This window comes from Homo sapiens, chromosome 4, assembly GCF_000001405.40.
Source record: "Homo sapiens chromosome 4, GRCh38.p14 Primary Assembly".
Classification (NCBI taxonomy): domain Eukaryota; kingdom Metazoa; phylum Chordata; class Mammalia; order Primates; family Hominidae; genus Homo; species Homo sapiens.
In genome coordinates, this window is record NC_000004.12 from 176772250 (window position 1) to 176793293 (window position 21044).

The 21044-nt window shown below is 39.0% G+C and overlaps 1 protein-coding gene across 1 annotated transcript in view; it reads right to left on the reverse strand.

The window, feature by feature from the left end:
* Nucleotides 1-20673, reverse strand: part of VEGFC (vascular endothelial growth factor C) — a 109385-nt gene extending 88712 nt beyond the window's left edge. Inside the window, exon 1 of the mRNA NM_005429.5 lies at nucleotides 19916-20673. Within this exon, the coding sequence (NP_005420.1) occupies nucleotides 19916-20062 (147 nt within the window). The 5' untranslated portion in view covers nucleotides 20063-20673. The remainder of the gene's footprint in view (nucleotides 1-19915) is intronic.

The window sequence follows — 21044 nt, forward strand, 5'->3', positions numbered from 1 at the left end:
TTCAAGAGGAGTGGCCTTCAAGTTTTTCCTTTCTCTGTTATGCGATTTGACACAATGAAATTAGCAAGTTTAAGTTCTCATGTTTTATAAGGTTTTCATGTAAGTGCTACCTCTCCAAACTGGAATTTTAATCTTTTGGACAGTCAAAAGGTCTTACATGGTAGCATTCATCTTTCTTTCTTAAACACAATACTTCAGTAACATTAATCTTTCAGGTGGGTATACAAAGAGTACATCAACGTTGCAAACAACCTGGAGAAAACAAATCTAGAAAGTACAATGACGCAATGTCACAAATGTGGTTGCCTCCTGCTACAGCGTGAATGTGTTCCCCAAACTTCATGTGTTGGAAATTTAATCCCCAATGCAAAAGCATTGAAAGGTGGGACCTTCAGAAGGTGATTAGGTCATGAGGCTCTGCCCACCTGAATGGATTAATGGTATTATCTTGGGAGTGGGCTCCTTATCACAGGAATGAGTTTGTTATATAAAGTTCCACCTGTTCTTGCACTCTGGAGAAATCTCTCCTGATGTGATGCCTTCCACCATGAGAAGACACAGTAAGAAGGCCCTCACCAGACACAGCCCTGCAACCCTGGACTTTCCAGTCTTCAGAATTGTGAGGAAAACTAATTTCTTTTTATTATAAATCATCCAGTTTGTGATTTACAGCAACATAAAACAGACCACGATACCTACCCAAAGTACATTCATTCTCCTTTCCTTCTTTGTGAAAAGAATTTCAATATTGTTAGAAAGTGCATGTATTTTCTTTATCGGCTTCTCTTACAGCCAGGAATGGCAAAAATGCACTTCTACCTGAGAAGATGTAAGGGCAAATCTACTGGGGATTTCAGAGAAAACTTTTGCTTTGGTTTGAATGTGTTAAGGCAACAACCTCCTCTCTCACTATTCTTTCTTCCTTGAAATCAGACATAAAGCTGCACAACAATCAGCCATGTTGTGACCACGAGGAATGAAGCACAGAAGGCCAAACTCTAAAAATGATCAAGTGAAAAAAGCACAGGAGTCTGGACATTGATGATATGATGTTGCTCCATGTGGTACCAGCCCTTAAACGCCCACTGGGGCCTTTTAGTTACTAGAGAAAAATAAACTCCAATTTGCTTTAGCCACTACAGTTAGATTTTGTTACACACAAACAAATCCCATTTTAACTGATACTCTCAAAATAGTTAGTGAAATCACCAGAGAATGAAATAAACTTATTTTACAATTTGATCATACCTATAAAAATAATAAATGTCTTCCTAGTATACAAAAAAACAGAAGCAGGGGAAAAATTTTAGAGAAGGAGACCAAAGAAAGAAGAATAAAAGCAAAATTTTAAAAAGTGAAGGCAAATAGTAGAGAGGTTAAATAAAGATAGCACTGAAAATTGATGGGAAGCAGCAATAATTTTCATGTGTAGGTTTGTTGTTGTTTTTTAAGAGACAGGGTCTTGCTCTGTTTCCCAGGCTGGAGTACAGTGGCACTATCACAGGTCACTACAGCCTTGGACTCCTAGGTTTGAGCGATCCTCCACCCTCGGCCTTCGGAGTACTTGGGTATATGCCACCATGCCTGGCTAATTTTTTTTAATTTTCATTTTTATTTTTTATTTTTGTAGAGATGGGGTCTCACCGTGTTACCCAGGCTGGTCGTGAACTCTTTTTTAATTACAGCTGAGTCATTAGGGTGAGGTTATATTTAATATACTTTACTTAACACAATAAAAATTTGAGTTATTAAACTCAACAATGCTCATCTTTAGAAGTCCAGAAAATTCACTTATAGAGGCGGCTTCATTTGTTTAGAATATTAAATAAATGACAAGTTAGTATTCTCTGCTTGTGAAATTTACTGGTTCCCTGTGCATTGCTAGGAAAAATAACAGAATCAATAATACATATTATACAGTTTATTTATGATATGTCACTACTTGCAATTATTAAATAATATATGCTATAGGACTACTTAATATTAATTTAGCAGATAATTTTAATAGAATGAAACTGCATAATAAATAAAAATTTTGATTCATATTTTGAATTATTAAACCCAGCAAAAATTATGAGAATTAACTTTATGAGTGTTAGTTTTTAAATAAAATAGAGAAGAATATGTAACATCATTAATAACTTTGAAAGCCACAGAGCCAAATGAGTGAATCACTTCTGCTCGTCACTCAGCCACTATTATTTCGTTATGCTAATTACACAGTCTATGTGTTTGGAGTCTGTTAAATGTTTATTTTTGTGGCAAACAACTATCTTTGCATATGTAAAATGGGGACAACATGTGAAAGAGGAGAATATGAAACCAAAAATTTAAGTATCAAAGAATCAAGAAATGGAAAAATATAACCAATCCTATAAAATGATCCTCCCATATACACTCAATAAGTAAAAATACACTTCATGGTCCAGACTGTCTTGAAGATATATTACACATTAGAACATATGCTTGTTAGTGGGTGCAGCGCACCAGCATGGCACTTGTATACATATGTAACTAACCTGCACATTGTGCACATGTACCCTAAAACTTAAAGTATAATAATAAAAAAAAAAAGAATGCAAAAAAAAAAAAAGAACTTATGCTTTACTGTTGCTTTCTGCACTTGAAACATCTTGATTTGTATCCTCTAGATTGTCAGGTAAGAATATCGTTAGAGATCAATTGGTCCAGCCTCAGACTAGGGCAAGCTTCAGCCCGATTGATCAGATGTGAACACCTCATATGGTCAAAGTGCCTTGAGCAGAGGAAATACACTGTGCAGATAATACTGACTCACAGGTATTATAACAATCTACCAGATGGGAAATAACGTGGCAGAAGTGACTTTTAGATATTTACCCTGGAGTGGAGGATGATAAATCCACTGCTCCAAGTAGAAGCAAGTAACCTGCAGACAGAGGGCTTGTCAAGTATAAAACCTTTAATCATTTCAGATATACTACGGATTGGCCTATGGGCTCCAGCTCTAGAATTTTACAACTGAGAAAAAAAAAGTAATGAAAGAGAAATATGTTGTGTTCATAAATAAACTATTAGAATAAATAATTTAAACAAGATTATATTTCTTATTTATCATTTGATGTTGATTTTTTAACCCAAAACCTTAACTTGAAACTCTTAATCAGTATAAAAGAGCTTGAGTATATTTAAAATTGTGTTGGACAGCCTGTTTCTTAGGATAACTCTATATGTCAGCCAATCACATTTTTTGAATCACCTCTAAACATTCCATTGACTTTTGTAATTGCAGTTAAAACAGTTCATGTGACATATGCAAGCAGTTGTTGACAGATGAGAAGATAAGCTTATAGGCCATGTATTGTATTTCCAGCTGTTTTAAATTTAAATTAACATTCTTTCGTAATTTCTAATTTTGATGATTATGATGACAAATTCAGGCTTGCAAAAGCCTAGACTCAAACTAGATTTTTGAATAGTTCAAGTGTTTAATTACTTATTAATCTGAATGAAGTACGTAATATATTTTCTTGTTTGCATTTGTTTTTACTATCAGTTCTGAGACTTCTCATCCAAGTTTGTCCTCTCTCAGTTCTTTCTAGTTACCATTTCCCAAACAATCAGAGATGGTCAAGGGTCATTCCCACGCTATTAACACTTTTAAAAGCTAGAAGAAACAAAGGTATAGGCTTACCAAAAAAAAAAGAACCTTTATTTATTTGAAATGTGGCAATTGAATAAAGCTTCTTAAAGTATGTACAAAATATAAACACATAACATTTTAAAGGAATCTATCAGCCAAGCAAAGAATGTTAGGTTATAAACACACAAATTATCTTAACCCTAAGGGTCAATAAATTAAGATCATGATAGTACAACTTTGGAAAGTTACTCCATAATCGAGGCAACATATTAATTATTAAAATCTTGCTTTACATAAGTCTGAAAGTGTTATTTTGAGAAACAAAGGTAAAGTTTTAAAATTATAAAACATTTTCTGATTTCCATGGAAGGAAATAAGGGAACAAGAAGAAAAGCAGTGCCTTAGCAAAAAAAAGCAAAAGTTTTCCCATAAATCCCTGCTAGATTTTCTCTTATGAGCAAGAACTATTCGAGGGCAACATTAGCTGCAAAGGACGCTGGGAAGTGAGTTGAATTTTTTTCTTCGTTTTTTAAACTGGGTACATGTGACCTCAAACACAATTTGGTCAAAACTACATTTAAAACCTCCAATTAACACTTTGAATTACACTAAAATAAAAAGGAGCCAATGAAGAGAGGCACAATACAAAACATATGATCAAGTTCACAATGAGTAGAAGCAGCACAACTGTGCCCTATATTTCACAGGTGTGGCCAAGGCCACCTACAGAAGAGTCGTACAAGAGAACCAAAGCCAAAGAGAGAGAAGAATATGGGTCAGAAAAGAATCATCACATCCTGATACTGACACACAGTGGACCAAGCCCTAGCTTAACAACTGTCCTTTATTCAATAAAATATGGTGCAACGGCCAAAGATTTATGGCAAAAATAGAAAATTGTTAACATTCATAAAGTTTTAGGTGTGTTTTATTTTGCTTGGCTTTGGTTTTTTGTATCTATCAAAATGAACAACTTAGACATGCTAAAAGTTTTATCATAGTATCAATATTTATAGTTATTCCATTATTTATCTTTAATATTTTAAATTATAAATAGCACAGTAAGTGTTGTATTGTTCTAATATCTCCTGCTTTAATATTTATTACACAGCATAACTGGACGGGAGATGTTTTAACTTCACTGAACATTAAAAACTACTGGCCGGGTGCGGTAGCTCACGCCTGTAATCCCAGCACTTTGGGAGGCCGAGGTGGGTGGATCACAAGGTCAGGAGATCCAGACCATCCTGGCTAACATGGTGAAACCCCATCTCTACTAAAAAAAAATACAAAAAATTAGCCGGGCGTGGTGGCGGGCGCCTGTAGTCCCAGCTACTCAGGAGGCTGAGGCAGGACAATGGCTTGAACCCAGGAGGCGGAGCTTGCAGTGAGCCGAGATCGCACCACTGCACTCCAGCCTGGCCGAGACAGCGAGACTCCGTCTCAAACAAACAAACAAAAAACTACTGCATGGGCTTTGAAATAGCTATGTAACTAATTGTTATTTTTTGCTTCAGTCTAAGTTCTTGTCTATATTCATATACCATAACAAATGAGTCACTATTGTCTATATAAAACTTTTAAATACCTAAAACACTTTACATCTTGGAATCTTATAGAATTGGAATTTTACTGAATCTTATAGAACTGTTTTCCTCAGATTTTATATAATACCTAAATACTGGCTTATAGGCAATAACTAGCTAAATAATAAACAAATATTATGAAGTGACATATAGACATATAAAAGCAATTCTTGTTATATATAGGCCAGGCTCCGTGGCTCACACCTGTAATCCCAGCACTTTGGGAGGCCGAGGCAGGCGGATCACAAGGTCAGGAGATCGAGACCATCCTGGTTAACATTGAAACCCTGTCTCTATTAAAAATACAAAAACTTAGCTGGGCATGGTGGTGGGCACCCGTAGTCCCTGCTACTCGGGAGGCTGGGGCAGGAGAATGGCATGAACCCAGGAGGTGGAGCTTGCAGTGAGCCAAGATTGTGCCACTGCACTCCAGCCTGGGCGACAGAGCAAGACTTTGTCTCAAAAAAAAAAAAAAAAAAAAAAAAAAAAAAAGCTATTCTTGTTATATGTAGAGGATCTATTTTATAGTCAAAATGTGCCTAAATATATGGTTCTTCAGCTTATTTTACAGCTTATTTTACTTGAAGGTATAACCACATTCTAAAATAATCTTTCAAATACAACAACTTGGTATCTTTTCTGTTTATAGTTCAAAATGAATTTTTTTCCCCACAATTATGATCACTGAGATGCTGAACTTGAATCAGAGTAAAGCATAAATAGGAAAAAACAACTACAAAACAGAGGACAATACGACTTCACTTGCTGATGGTCTAGCTGTGGCAAATGCAGTTTCCTCACAATAGACATACTTGCTGGCAAGCTCTGATGACTAAACTGTGCTGGAAGTTACACAGAATTTCGATTGCTATTTGCTCACAATTATAATTGGGAGCAAGAAAGACAATGCCAAAAGGAAATAAAACACATATTTAGGAAAAAAAAAACAAGTAAATAGGAGCTTTTTCTAGTAAAGAATGCTAGTAGAGGGCAAGTTGTTCCTTAGGATGCCCCCCGCCACCAACAAAAAGTCTTCAACAGCCAGCCAGAGGCCAGAAATCCCAAATTATTTAACGCTACTACATATATTATAATCAAATGTTGGATCAAGTAGGAATAACCCAATTAAATAATTTTAGCTAAATCATCTAACTCTGATGGCAAGTTATTTTGTTGAACAACTAAAGATTTATAAGGGCTATTGTAAATAATATTTACCTCTCAATTACCACATTCCCAGAATAGAAGTCATGCTTTGATGACTAAACATGGCCCGGCGTCAACCCCTGCTGCAAGACATTTGCTCTGATCTAAACACCCCCTAGTTTGCATGTACAGGGACAAAACCTTCTCAATTTTCTAAGAATATTTCTTTCTGTCCTCATAAACTCGAGATATTCCCCCTAAAAAAATGCTGATTTCAAAATTTAGCAATGGAATAAATCAGTTTGACAAAATTTTAACAAAATTTTACATGTTGCCAAAGACTGGCCACCTTCTGCCCCCACCACCAATCAATCAATCATCACAGAACAGGAAAAAATGTCTAATTCTTCAGATTAAGTGCACACGCCATATGCTAGAATGTATAGTGCTGTATTTATGAATATAGTCTATGTACTAAGTTTTTCAAGCCATAAAACTAGCTAATATTACATTAAAATCAAAGCTATCCTAATATAATAACATCATGTATAAATCAAAATAGTGGGAAGATGTACAATTAGAGATGAAAAGACAACAGAGCTGATAGAACCTGATTTTCCAAAAGAATTTAAATTTAAATTTAAGAAAATCTAGTCCCAATATATAGTATTTTTTATAGGATGATATTTATATAAGTAATACAAGGTGGTATAAACAATGAATAATTCCTCACTGTGATGGACATAGTTATTTTGTCATTAGTAAAAGTAGTTTGAAGTAAGAAGTTATTGGAAGAAGTTTTTTTCTGGAAGAAGTTTAAAATGTTTTAATTGCAAAATAGTATACTGGAGTAAAAGAATAAAAGGAAAGAAAAGAATGTGTAATTTATAAAGAAGATTTGCATAACACGTGTCTAAAATTTTGGTTTAAAAAAGAGTACTACTCTTTCTGTGAGCACCCAGGGGCACATCATCAAGTGGGGTGAAACACTTTCCTCTGGAGTGAAACATTAACCTCTAAGTTACAATCACTTTTAACCTCCTGAGGAGACCATGCTCCTGGAATGACTGCACATTTTCCTATTGCACATAGGAAGGGAACTGCTAATGTCAGTGCGAAAGCAAAGCCCCCAGATAGGAAAAAAAAAAAGATAAAAGGCTCCCTATCGATTTAATTAACTCAAATGTTAATACGTTAGGCTTAGAAAACCAGAAACTGTTCTGGACAAGAATGAACTTAAACATGGACAGAAAACAATGTGCGAATGTACCACCAGTGAAATCATGTGTCTTCAGAACTTTGTGTGCTATTAAGTTGGAGTGAAACCCACAGTAACATGTATTAAAGCCCATGTTTAAGACATCTTGGTCATATTTTATTAAAGAACGACAGCTCTTAAACATGTACATCTTTAACTGGAACTTGTTGCAGTTCTTAGTAATGGCAACTGATTGCTTGGCATTTTACAGGGGTATCTATTAAAACTCTTTTCTAGGCCAGGTGTGGTGGCTCACGCCTGTAATCCCAACACTTTGGGAGGCAGAGGCGGGCAGGTCACCTGAGGTCAGGTGTTCAAGACCAGCCTGGCCAACAGGGTGAAACCCAGTCTCTACTAAATAATACAAAAATTAGCCTGGCATGGTGGTGCGTGCCTGTAATCCCAGCTACTCAGAAGGCTGAAGCAGGGAGAATTGCTTGAACCCGGGAGGCGGAGGTTGCAGTGAGCCGAGATTACCCCACTGCACTCCAGCCTGGGCGACAGAGCGAGACTCCATCTCAAAAAAAAAAAAAAAAAACTCCTTCTAACCCATTCACTAAGCACTAAGCACGCATTTAATACCCATGTGTAATACACAGTGCACCAAGGACAGCATGGAGTTCATCTCGACATCACAGATTTAATTTTAGCTGTACATATATTAATTTATATCATTTCAATGATTGAATGGAAAATGAAATTATATCTATACAGTTATATTAAATTTAAATCAGGCATATGTGTCCTCCTCCTTCCCAACACATTGCAGATATTTAACAGGGGTGTAATAAAGTTAAACTCAACATCAAGGATACATTTAATTAGGAAAATAGCACAGAAAAGCAAAATTTGAATTTCAGGTGTTTTGCACTAGAGGAAGCCCGAGCGTCAGTCTTCTACGTGTGTCGTGTTAACATGACTTGAGGCTGTCACACTAGCACTGCTCCTAGTTTTAGACAGATAGAAGAATAAATGTCAAATCAACATGGCACAAAAAATCACCAATTTTAAATATTTTCAATCTTTAATTTACTAAGTTATGTGTCACTGTGTGCTATATTATAGTAATAAAATAACTACACTGTGCTCTCATGGACATGAGCACAAAGGTACATTTTTCTAAAGTAAAACAGAATTGGTCTCTAACAGAGCAGGCTTCACTGCTACCAATATTAAAGGAAAAAAAATATTGCATTAAAATTTATGACATCATTATTTGCTTTAATGTGTATCTGAAGCAGCTTCAAATTACCCAATTGTTAAGTGTGATGGTCATGACTCATGAATAATTTTGGCCTTAATAAAATTCTAATTTGGCATGGACAGACACCAAAATTAAAAGAGAGATCTAGGACTCAGAGAGAACAAACAATGAATCACTATTATGTTAAAACTAAAATTTGGCTCTGAGACAAAGGGATCAGTTTGTTTTTTAGGGAAGTCATAAATGTCATGACCTGTAAGCAAACATGAATCTCAGTAAGTGTTCTCTTTTTTCAAAACATAAACTTGGAAGAGGACTTTTAAAAGGATAAAGTAACTAAATACACAAAACAGACACAAACAAAAAGAAAGAATTAAAAATATTCCATGTAGGCAATGATATTATAGTAAATTAAATCACAGTGATTTAAAATAGCCTCGCATCTGGTATCTGATATCAACTAGCTACTTCCAAGAAATTTGGAGTGAGTGGAAATAACAATCCCTTTTACAGGTTATAGGAATTCAATCACAGGATTCATGGCAGCTGTGTGGTCACTTCAGTTAAAACAGAGTAGTCAAGACCATTTTCTTTAACATTTCAGTCTGATTTGCCAAATTCATCCACTCTTGGGGCAGGGAGGGACCTGGAGGGGCTCATTTAATTGTAAACAAAGACAAGGGAAGGTGAACTGTTTTCACTATTGTTCACCAAGTGAACTATTTGGTAAAATCATTACCCACACATCCTTTTAGGTAAGGTGATTATGTTTGTCATTTCAGTAAAAGGGCGTTAAACTTTGAACACTGCTTGCCTGAAGCAGATTAAGTAGTCGGCTTCCCATACCCTATTCAATTACCACAAGGGAGAAAGTGCTGCCTGTCTCAGAGTGGCACTCACTCACACGCATGACTCTTCCTCAACTACCGCAGTGCCAAGGTCTGATTATTTTCACAAATGTTTCATCCTTTTCCAATATTTTAACAAGTTGGAACCAAAAGTATTATCAAGTTCAAGACTGTTTCTTCTACATAAAAAGAATATTAAATAAGCAGTTATTTGAATCCTGTTTCTAACAATAAAAATGTAAGCAAAGCACTTGTAAGAGAAAAAGAAATTAGGCTGGAACAGCGGCTCATGCCTGTAATCCCAGCACTTTGGGAGGCCAAGGCAGATCACTTGAGCCCAGGAGTTTGAGAGCAGCCTGGGCAACTTAGTGAGACCTCATTTCTACAAAAAATTTTAAAAAATAGCTGGGTGGGGTGGCACGTGCCTGTGATCCCAGCTACTTGGGAAGCTGAGGTAGGTGGATCACTTGAGTACAGGAGGCGGAGGCTGCAACGAGCCACGTTCATGCCACTGCACTGCAGCCTGGGAAATAGAGTGAGGCCTGTCTCAAATTAAAAAAAAAAAAAATTTTTAAATAAAAAAAAGTTGAGAGAAAAATAAATTAGTGTGACAATGAAAAATTACTATGAAGAAAATCACATTAAAATGTTAATTTGAATTCTATAATTGGGAAAACATAATAGCACTGAACTATAAAGCTTCATTTTATTATATGCTTACATACAATTCTAATTCTGAAATACAAATATTAATACGAAAATTGCTTTTAAAAAGATGATACAGTATCTCCATAGAGATGTGAATGAATAATATAGTATTATCTAATTTTTAATGTACTTACATACTACCTGAGGGTCTATTTAGTGTTTAGTGCTTTGTTCCAGTTCCAGTCAGAAAAAAAATTCTGTTTAAAAATGTGGTATCTGGTCAAAAGTTCTAAAATACTCCAACTAACATCTGCACTGGAATCCTAGGGAAGTGAATACTTTCTGGATGTTACTGAATCAAAAAAATATGCTGTCAGCTGTTCAAGAGCTGGGAAGTGTGTCCACCACTGATTTTTCCTCCCTTTTTCCTGTCTGCTCACGGGCCTCCAATGCCCCCAGCACTGTAGTCTTCAGCACAGGGTAACCACGCAAGTCACAGCACTGACTGGCAAATTGACAAAGAGAACCACCAAACAAAATCAACTATTTGGAATAAACTAGAGTACTCAAGCAAATCAGCTTACTCTCAGAGAAGGAAAGTATCTACTCCATAATTCATCCCAGTGTCCCAGTGTCCGCACATCTCAGACAGCACACGCTGTACTAGTTACCATTCTGGAAGAGGGTCCCTTAGGAACAGTGCAATCACATTTTCCTAAACAAATTCACACAAGTTTAACTCTGGCATATAGCATTCTCCCCTTAAGTTTTCTTTATATTTTCCTCAGTGAAATTGTTGATATTTTAGGTATTCTGTGATGATTTCATTGTAAATTTAGAATGCATATTTATTTTTTGTGGCAATAATATAGATGAGATATTTACACATCAAAGTAGCAACATTAGCATGTTTCATTAATAAACATTTAAACTTGAAAATGTATATGCTCTGAATATATTCAAGATGAGTTCATATTAAATTATATGGCATTATAAAAAGCTTATGTGTACCAAAATCCTTTACAGCCAAATGACCTAAGTATGAATGAAGCACATAAGGAGACAGCATCATCCCAGATTCTTTGGTTTGGTGTGGTCTATGGACACCTGTGCTGCCCTCCAGGAGAGGAACAAACCCCGGCACCCAGGGGAAGTGGGAACATATTATAGGCAGAACTACAGTATGTAGCCTCCAGACACTGAATGATTAAACACCCTGCATTTCCTTCACCTGTTTCAAAATCAAACATCAGTATTATATCCTCTTGCTATATTTTAGAAATTGGGAAAATTGTCAGTAATTTATAATTTTAAAAATTTAATAAATTAGTTGCAAGGTGCTGAAGAATCACAGTTATGTCATATGTCTAGGACATAGTACTTACATGCTATATTCTTTGTTTGTTTTCTGATCATGAAGACTATCTATTTAACACAAATTTACAGAAAGCTTACTATATGCCAATCATGGTTCCAAGGGCTTTATATGTATGCACATGCTGTTTTTTTTTTTTTTTTTTTGAAACAGAGTCTCACTCTGTTGCCCAGGCTGGAGTGCAGTGGGGTGATCTCAGCTCACTCACTGCAACCTCCGCCTCCTGGGCTCAAGCCATCTTCTCACCTCAGCCTCCAGAGTAGCTGTGAATACAGGCACGTGTCACCATGCCCAGTTAATTTTTCTATTTTTTGTAGAGATAGGGTTTTCCCCATGTTGCTCAGGCTGGTCTCAAACTCCTGGGTTCAAGTGATCTACCTGACTCAGACTCCCAAAGTGCTGGGATTACAGACGTGAGCCACCACACCTGGCCTATATACACATTCTTATCCTCAAAACAACCTGATTAAGCAGGCATTAATTATATTCTACATTTTGGAAGAGGACTTTTAAAAGGATAAAGTAACTAGGCTGGGCGTGGTGGTTCACACCTGTAATCCCAGCACTTTGGGAGGCCGAGGCGGGCAGATCACGAGGTCAGGAGATTGAGACCATTCTGGCTAACATGGTCAAACCCCGTCTCTACTAAAAAAATATAAAAAAAAAATTAGCTGGGTGTGGTGGTGGGCACCTGTAGTTCCAGCTACTCAGGAGGCTGAGGCAGGAGAATGGCGTGAACCTGGGAGGCGGAGCTTGCAGTGAGCTGAGATAGCACCACTGCATTCCATCCAGCCTGGGCTACAGAGCCAGAGTCTGTCTCAAAAAAAAAAAAAAAAAAAAAAAGATAAAGTAACTAAATACACAAAACAGACACAAAGAAAAAGAAAAAATTAAAAATTAAAAATTAGCATCTACTCATTGTGCTACAAAGAAGCAGAGAGAAACTAAGTAACTTGTCCAAGGTCACACAGGTACTAAGAGGCATCCTCAGGACATGAATACAGAAAGGCATGTCCATACCCTGTGCTCTTATCCACTGCACTGCATCTCTAAACAAGTTACGTCACTGACACAAGCAACAGTTATGTGACTGAAACAAGCAGAAATATTGGCAGTGAGTTCTTCCAGGCGCTATCACAGGCAGTGTAAACAGAGTGCATAGGTTCTGCAGTTAGCAAAATAGCTAGCTTTGATCCCAGCCTTTATCACTTATGACTGCATACTTTACTATTGCATAAAAGTAAGAGAAAATGGTAATTTAGGGATGAAGTTTTAGGTAAATTAAATTACAAAATAAATGTCTAAATAGAAACCTTTCAACTATAGAAGTCAAACCACATCTTTCTGGTCTACCCCAAAATATACATCTTTCCACCTGTCCAAATGAGGACAGGTTGAAGCCAAACTTCTTTAGAAGTGAGTCTTTTAAACTTGTAAGTATTACCTTTTACACAAAGTTGTGCATTTGAATATTTCCTCTTTCAGTATGTCCTTTCTCTAGTAGGTGGCATCTCTTGAGTTTGAGTAAATTATTCCACCATATTTAAAAAAACCTTTTATAAGAACAGCCAAAGTATTTATATTGTTTATTTGGTAGTTTACCCACCTCCTCACATCCCCACTCCCACCTTTCTGGTCTCATTTTTAGCAGATTTTAAAAAGCAGGAATTTCCAGGACACTTTAGGGTTCTCTCCTTCTCTTTTTTTTCAATTGCCCACTGACCTACAAATAAATGTGTGTGCAAATATAGAGATTCTAATCTTGTACACTTCTGATTGTCTAAATATTCTATTTCAATGAACTGTCTACAAATTCTTAACCATGCAAGAAAGAACACGTAAGTCACACTTGGCAGTCTGAAGAACTATTAAGCGGTGTATGCATGAATATGTGTGTGGGGGGTTCTGTGTATGTGTATCTAAGCATGACCACTGTTTACACTGCTTGCTTCGTTTGGAATGCAAACCATAATGGCAGAGATGTCTATTTCTATACTTTTGTAAATGTATCCAGATAGCACAATGATGGGTGCCTACAGTAAGTCAAAAGTAATCACCACTATCATCGCCAGCAATCAGGAGCATATAGAGGAGTTCGAATACCATATATGGGTGGCCACTGTAATGAGAAAGGCAGAGTCACTGCCAGACACTTTAAGAAACCCTGCAGTTGAAAATGGCTTCTGAGAAGCTTCTGAGAAGCTTCTGGTCAGCTTTCTTAGACACTTCTGTGCAACAATGCCAGGTTAAGCTCCTTAAAAACCTCACTTTCAGCATACCACTAAAGAATCTTCATTGGCTCCTGCTGCTTTCAACTCAAACTCAGACTTTCTCTTTGGTTTTCACACTTCCCACCATGCTCCCTTCAGTTTCCCTTAAAGCTCTTGACTTTTGCACCAAAGGGTTTGCTTCTAGTTCCCCAAATATCCCTGACCTTTACTTCCTCTGTACTTTGCTGTCATTCTTCAATATTCAAAACATCCCTCTCTCCCCCATTTCTGTAATTAGCATCTACTCATTTTTAACATTGGGTCTCATATCATTCCACCTTTCCCAGGCCTGCCCATGCAACTCCCAGAAGGCTAGCCAACAACTGGTGGTAACTCACAAGACTCTCTTACAAAACCACTTACATGGTCTGGATTTATAGTTTAATTCACTTGTAGTATTTTTAATGAGTAAATTTATTTTCTCCAAAATGATTATAAGCTTGTTATAGACAAGATCACTCACTCTACATTTTTTGCATCACACACTGAACTGTAATTTCCTGCTTAGAACTGAAGCTGCCACTAGTAAGAACTGATTAACATGAGTTGAAGTAGATTAAAGAGCAAATAAACCTGGTACTAATGGGTAAAAAGGAATTAGGAGCATCCACATGGCTTCTTTCTTGAATTCCTGGATTACCTTTCCCTGCCTCTTCCAGGCAGCCCCAAGGCAATAAAGCAATGGAGGAAGGCCTGTGGAACAGGGCTACAATCCATCTGCTTATCCAAAATGCCTGGAGACTGCAAGAGTCTCTGAACCTGGAATTTTTCTGGAAACCAAGTGCATAGACATATTAATACTCACACCCCAAAAACAAGCAGGACTGATGGCAGCATCATGTAAATAAATACATTACTATTTTCCCAGTGAAGATTAGAAATATTTAAATTAGATAATAATGACTATAAATAGCCTTATGTCAGTTCAGATCAGGATTATAGCACCAAATAATTTAAGAAAATTAGCTTTTGGGGCCGGGCGCAGTGGCTCATGCCTGTAATCCCAGCACTTTAGGAGATCAAGTGGATCACCTGAAGTCAGGAGTTTGAAACCAGCTTCGCCTACAAGACAAAACCCTCTCTCTATGAAAAATACAAAAATTAGCCTGCTCTAGTGGCACATGCCTGTAATTCCAGCTACTTGGGAGGCTGAGGCACGAGAATCGCTTGAACCCACGAGGCAGAGGTTGCAGTGAGCCAACATCATGCCACTGCACTCCAGCCTGGGCAATAGAGCATGACCCTGTCTCAAAAAAAAAAAAAAAAAGGAAAGAAAGAAAAAGAAAATGAGTTTTTGGATTTCAAAATTGGAAAAAAAACTATCGTGGATAACTCCTAACACCTGAAAGCCACTAGGGCGCGAGCAGTATAAGGAAACAGTACTAATCCACTGACAAAGCATTTAATGTACAATTTGATTAATTCCATGATGGATGCCCAATAAAGCAAATTAAATAAAAACAGTCTCTGCTTTCTCATGGTTAAACATAAACTCTGAAAAAAAAAATTAATCAACCGAGGAAAGAAGCCACCCCAAAAATTTACACTAGTAAGTTTCAGAAAAACAATTACACAAACCTAAAATATTTATAGTAAATTTTATAATTACACTATAACTCAAACTCATCAGCATCTCTCCTTGTTTAAAGTTCTCTGCTATATCTGTTTTTTCTAATGAGAAAAATCAATGATAACTTAATCCACAATTTATACAAATCTGTACATACAAATATGTGTTTGTAACAAAAGGTAGACCCATATAGTATTTATAAAATGCACATCTACAAGGAATAATGTAACTGGTGAAAGGTGAAACAATATATGCTCAGAAGTCAGAGGAAGTATAACGCTTCTGCCAACTTAAATTTGTTCTTTCCAAATCCACTTATTTGTGAAAGGTCATTTGGCAGAGGTAAAATCACAATCTTTCACTGAAGTTACTTGAGCACAACTTTGAAAAACCGTTTGTCAGAAAATCTTGTTAAGCCTCCAGTTAAGCAGTCGTTCTTATAATATTACCATGGATTAGGTCATTTATAATTTATCTTTAGTCAAACGAACACCATGTGGTAAAGCCTGGAAGAAAGTCTGGGTTTATTTCCGTTTGTCCCGTTGTGGGGAATTAGGACCTAAATAAATGCAACAAGGTGCCCCTAACTGCAAAGTCACACGCAGTGCTTTTCTCTGCCTTCCTGCACGCTGCTATAGTGTGCCAAAGGAGACCAGCAGAGGGGCTGAAAGGAGTCTGAATCACAGGCCCAAAGGCCCAAACCCATTACCACATTTCTCTAAAACATACATGCTTCTCGATTTACGATGGGGCTACATCCTGACAAATTCCTCCTGAGTTGAAAATATATTTAATATACAGTAGAGTACCTGTTGTTTACTCTCACGATCACATGGCTGACTGGTCACAGCTCACTTCCATTGTCCAGCATCCAGAGAAAGTATTTTACTGCATATTATTAGCCCAGGAAAAGATCAAAATTCAAACCTTGAAGTATGGTTTCTACTGAATGTCTATCGACTTTGCACCATTGTAAAGTCCAAAAGTCCTAAATAGAACCATTCTAAGTCGGGGACTGTTGGTATATGCCATAAAACTTTTTTTAAAAGAAAAAAAGGAAAAAAACATCTATTCTTTTTCCTGGTTAAGTCATTCAGATCTTGGGTTCATCATCCTTAATGAAATAAAATAATGTCCATATTATGGAGGTGTAGTGAAAAACAAAACTAACTTGCAAAGCTCTTTGCGAAGTGCTTAACACACGTTATGAACATCACAGATAATGATTATAAACTCCTACTCTCAATAACAACCCCAGGACTGCCAAAGGCAAGCAGGCAAGCACAGTCCCAGGGATTCGGGAAACCTTCATTAGTCTCACGCCAGTTCCTCTGTTGGTGAAAACCCCAGCAAGAGCTGAGAAACAGCATTCTGGGTTGGACACATGGAGATAACTAGGAGGCCAGGACCTTCCTCTCAAGAGGAACCGGAACCAGAACTGGAAGTCCAAAATGAAATCTAAATCCACTACCCTCCGTCTTTCTCAACTCAACTGAAAAGGACAGGATTAGAGATCTACGGGTCTTAGACATATGCCACTAAGATCAGTAATTAACTGCTTTCTATGAAGCAATTTTGATAACTGTCTTGTGAATAAATAGCTATCAATCAGATATTCATAGTTCAGAAGACTATAATGGAGTGGAAATCAAAATGAAAGATGAATTGAACTTTCTATATCTAAAACCTCATATAAGTAGCATCACTCAGAGGAATGTCAGAAATCTCTTATAAGAGTAGATGTTGACAAACATAATCATATACTATAAGAAAAATTGTAAATAGAACAGCTTCAGACTTGCTATTCTCTTTTGTTCCCATCATGTCCAGTTAATTTTACTTTTGCCTGCCTTACTTTTTTGACACTGTCTTGTTTGTGTTAACATCCTTCAGAGAAACATTTTAAGACTTTTCAGTAAGTCATGCAACCACAAATAACTAGAAATAGGAATCCAGTAAATGCAAATATAAGTCGAGGAATAAGGAGATCTTCATTCTATTTGTGATTTTTACCTACAATCTTTTGCATGGCTTTACGGGTGGGCTGAAGGGCTGGATGGCTAACCTTGGTTCATAGTTTGTGTGCTATTTTTGATTTTTTAAATATTAAAAAAGTTCCTAGGTGAAAGTTATGAAAACATTGCATCTATTGGGATTATAGATATTTAGCATCTTCTGTTTACCTTCTGAAATATTTTCTTGGGGTTCATGTAGTTATAGAAAATTAACAATTGATTTCTCCCCAGTTCTTCTCTAGTGCTTAAATCTAAATGTGGTGCTTGTACAGGCCACTAGGGAGAGACATAGAGTCTTCATATCAGTTTCTTGGCAGTTGTGTGACATGTTTCATAGCAAGGACACAGCAGTTTCACTGAATGCATTAATGACACATGCCCTGTCAAGGCTCTATTCACCCACTGGGGAACGACACTTTAATGGAGCAATGAAATACTGCTTTGTGGTCTATGGAACTCAGAGATGATGTTTCATATGGGAAATGATGTTTCATCACATAGGAAAGGAACCCACATCACATGCAGAATACTAACCCATATTCACCATACAGAATATAAAAATGGTTAAATATGAAAAGCGACATTTGCAAACAAAAATGCATAGTGATTTTCACAGCAATGGTAAAATTTGCCATATCACCAATGGCAAATTTTACATCACCAACGAAGACACTTTTGAAAGTTAAAAATAAGTTAACTTTTTTAATCCTCCAATCCCATACCTATACATAACACACGTAAACACACACACACACACACTCAAGGTACATTAATTCTAGACTCACCCAGCAGTGAGTGACTCTCATACAGGCTATTGGCTTATCAGGGAATGTTTCTCATTTTACTCTCTACTGCACATTTTCTTACTGTAAACCAAAGTAAGTGACCGTAACCAATACAGAGATGTTGCCTTACTAAATCATACTTTTACTAGTTTTGACTTTGCAGAAATAGCAAATAGGTACTGCAAAATCAAGGACTCAAATTATCAGAAGCGTTATTGAGCCGATTATTACATTTCTGCGGTATTTAAGAACAGAAAGATATTTTCATCACTATAGTTACGGCAATGTAAGTATAGGCACTGAAAATTATTTTTGTGATTCACAGAATGCAGTCTGTTCTATTTCATGTATATTGTTTTTACTCAAGAGGCATTCCTTTAACCCCTATATTAAATTATTACACATTCCAACATTTTAATGTTTTCCCAAAATTTAAATGCAAAGGTAGTTTGATTTCCAAAAATTAGTCTTCTCAATCTTTAAGTGTATTTCAAAATATAAATATAAATAAAATATTTCAAAATATAAGGCTATTTTCTACACATTGTGTATGTGTTAATCAACAGTCAAATTAAAGTTGACTGTAACACACCACAGGTACCTCTCCACTTGCCACCAGTTGAAATAAACTACCGCAGTATAGTTCCAGCAAGGGGTACTGCAAGTGTTTGAACTGAAATGTCGAATATAACTTCTTTAGGAACTCTCTTAAGCATACTCTATATGGTTATGGCAGGTATGAACTTTTTAGATAAAGATATACTCTTTTGGAAGAGCCAGTAAGAAGTAGGAACACACACAAATCCTTTTTCAAAATCAGGATGCCTCAAAAGTATTTTGGCAACATTTTCAGGCAAAGGATTAAACACCTCTTATTTAAAAGAAAACAAAACAAACAAAAAACCCAAACAAGAAAAAAAAAAACTTAGTTTGCAGTATCTCATGACCAGATTTTAGGAATGAAGAGCTTATAAAGTTGAAACAAGCCTTGCATTGCTTGATTGTGATCTAACTGACTCTAATCTCCCGTTACATCTCAAGTCTGACCAACTTCAAGTGAACTCTGAAAGCTCTGGAGCCTGGTTACTAAAGTCCCTGACACTTTTTTTCTAAAGTCGCTCACAGCGCCTGGTGCTCTGCAGACTATGAACACTCCAGGAAAGTAAGGCTGGGTTGACTGATCACCAGTGTCCCAGAATCTGTTTGGAGTCCCATGAATCAGCTGGGGAAAGAAACGAGCATTTCCCGACCAAAATGAACTCATACTCTCCAGAGCCCCGCTGACTGGGCAGGGTTCAAGACCCCTTGGTTGCCCCAGAGGAAACCAGTCTGAAATAGATTTCGGGATCTCTCACTGGGCACCTCTCCGGGCCCTTCACTCGTGTAACTTGCTTGCCTCTCTAGTAACAACTTTCTATTTAAAAAGAAGAAGATTTTTCTCCAAAGCAGCGTGCACTGAGCTCAGTAACTTTGGATCCCACGTACACAAGCTTAAAGCACACACACTTTCCCCCGCGCAGGTTCTCGGGTCCGCCGCAGACCCTAACGCAAACTCTCGGGTTCTCCGCAAACCCTAACGCAGACCTACCGTGGCCTCGCCCGCGTCGGGCTCCGCGTCCGAGAGGTCGAGTCCGGACTCGAAGGCGGCGGCGGCGGCGGGCGCCTCGCGAGGACCCGGGAGCAGCGCAGCGGCGAGCAGAGAACACGCCACAGAGAAGAAGCCCAGCAAGTGCATGGTGGAAGGACCGGGGGTGGGGGACCGGTCCGCTGGCGGGGGCAGGGGTGGGGGCGCGGGCGCCCCTGCGAGGCCGCGGGCCCCTCCTGGTCCCTCTCCCCCGGGCTCCTCCCGGCGACCCCCCCTGGGCGAGCCGGAGGCGGCGGGAGCGGGTCCGGGGCTCCGCGTTCCCAACTTTGCAGGGCGCCCTCCCAGCCAGTGCCGGGGAAAGGCGGCGGGTGTCAGGTAAAAGCCTCACAGGAAACCGGACATCCGAGCTCCCCGCATTCGGAGCCCGCGAGGTGAAGCGAGGGCGAGGGAGGACGCCGCCGCGGTCCGCGTCGGTGTAGCTTTTTGGAGAGGCGGGGCGGGGGACACCAGAACACCCCGCGATGTTCAGCCCCTCCAAACCCGCCAGAGCCCTCGTCCCCCTCCTCCCTCCCCTTCCCCGAAGTGAGAGGAGCCGGGCCGCGGGCGCTGCGGCGGGGGCGCTGGCGGCGGTGCCGGGGGCGGGAGGAGGGCGGCGGGGCGGCTGGCGGCGGCGGGGCCCGGGAGCGCCGCGGCGCAGGATCCTCCAGAGCGCGCCGGGCTGAGCGGCGGCGGCGGCGGCGGCGGGCGCAGGGGCAGGGCATGACTGACGCGCCCTCTGCCTGCGCTTATGTGAGAGAAAGCGGCCGAGGGAGGGAGCGTGCCGAGCCCGGGCTGCCCTCCCCTCTCACTCTCCCTCGGAAGCCGTCTCCCTGGAGCTCCCCGTTTCCCTCGCCTCCTCCCCGGCGGCCCCACCTCCCCCGGCCCCCCTCTGGATCTCTCCCTCCCCGCCCCTGTCCCCTGCGGGGAGCGGGCGGCCGGAGGGGCAAGTTCAGTCCCGGGGCTGGCGGTTGGCGGGACCGGCTTTAGAGGTGATGCGACCACCCTGGACCACGTGCAGCGGGGAGAAACTGGGCACCGTGGGGTGGAGGGAGCCCCCGCTTTATCCTCGGCCACTCCCGAGTTCTTGTCCTCC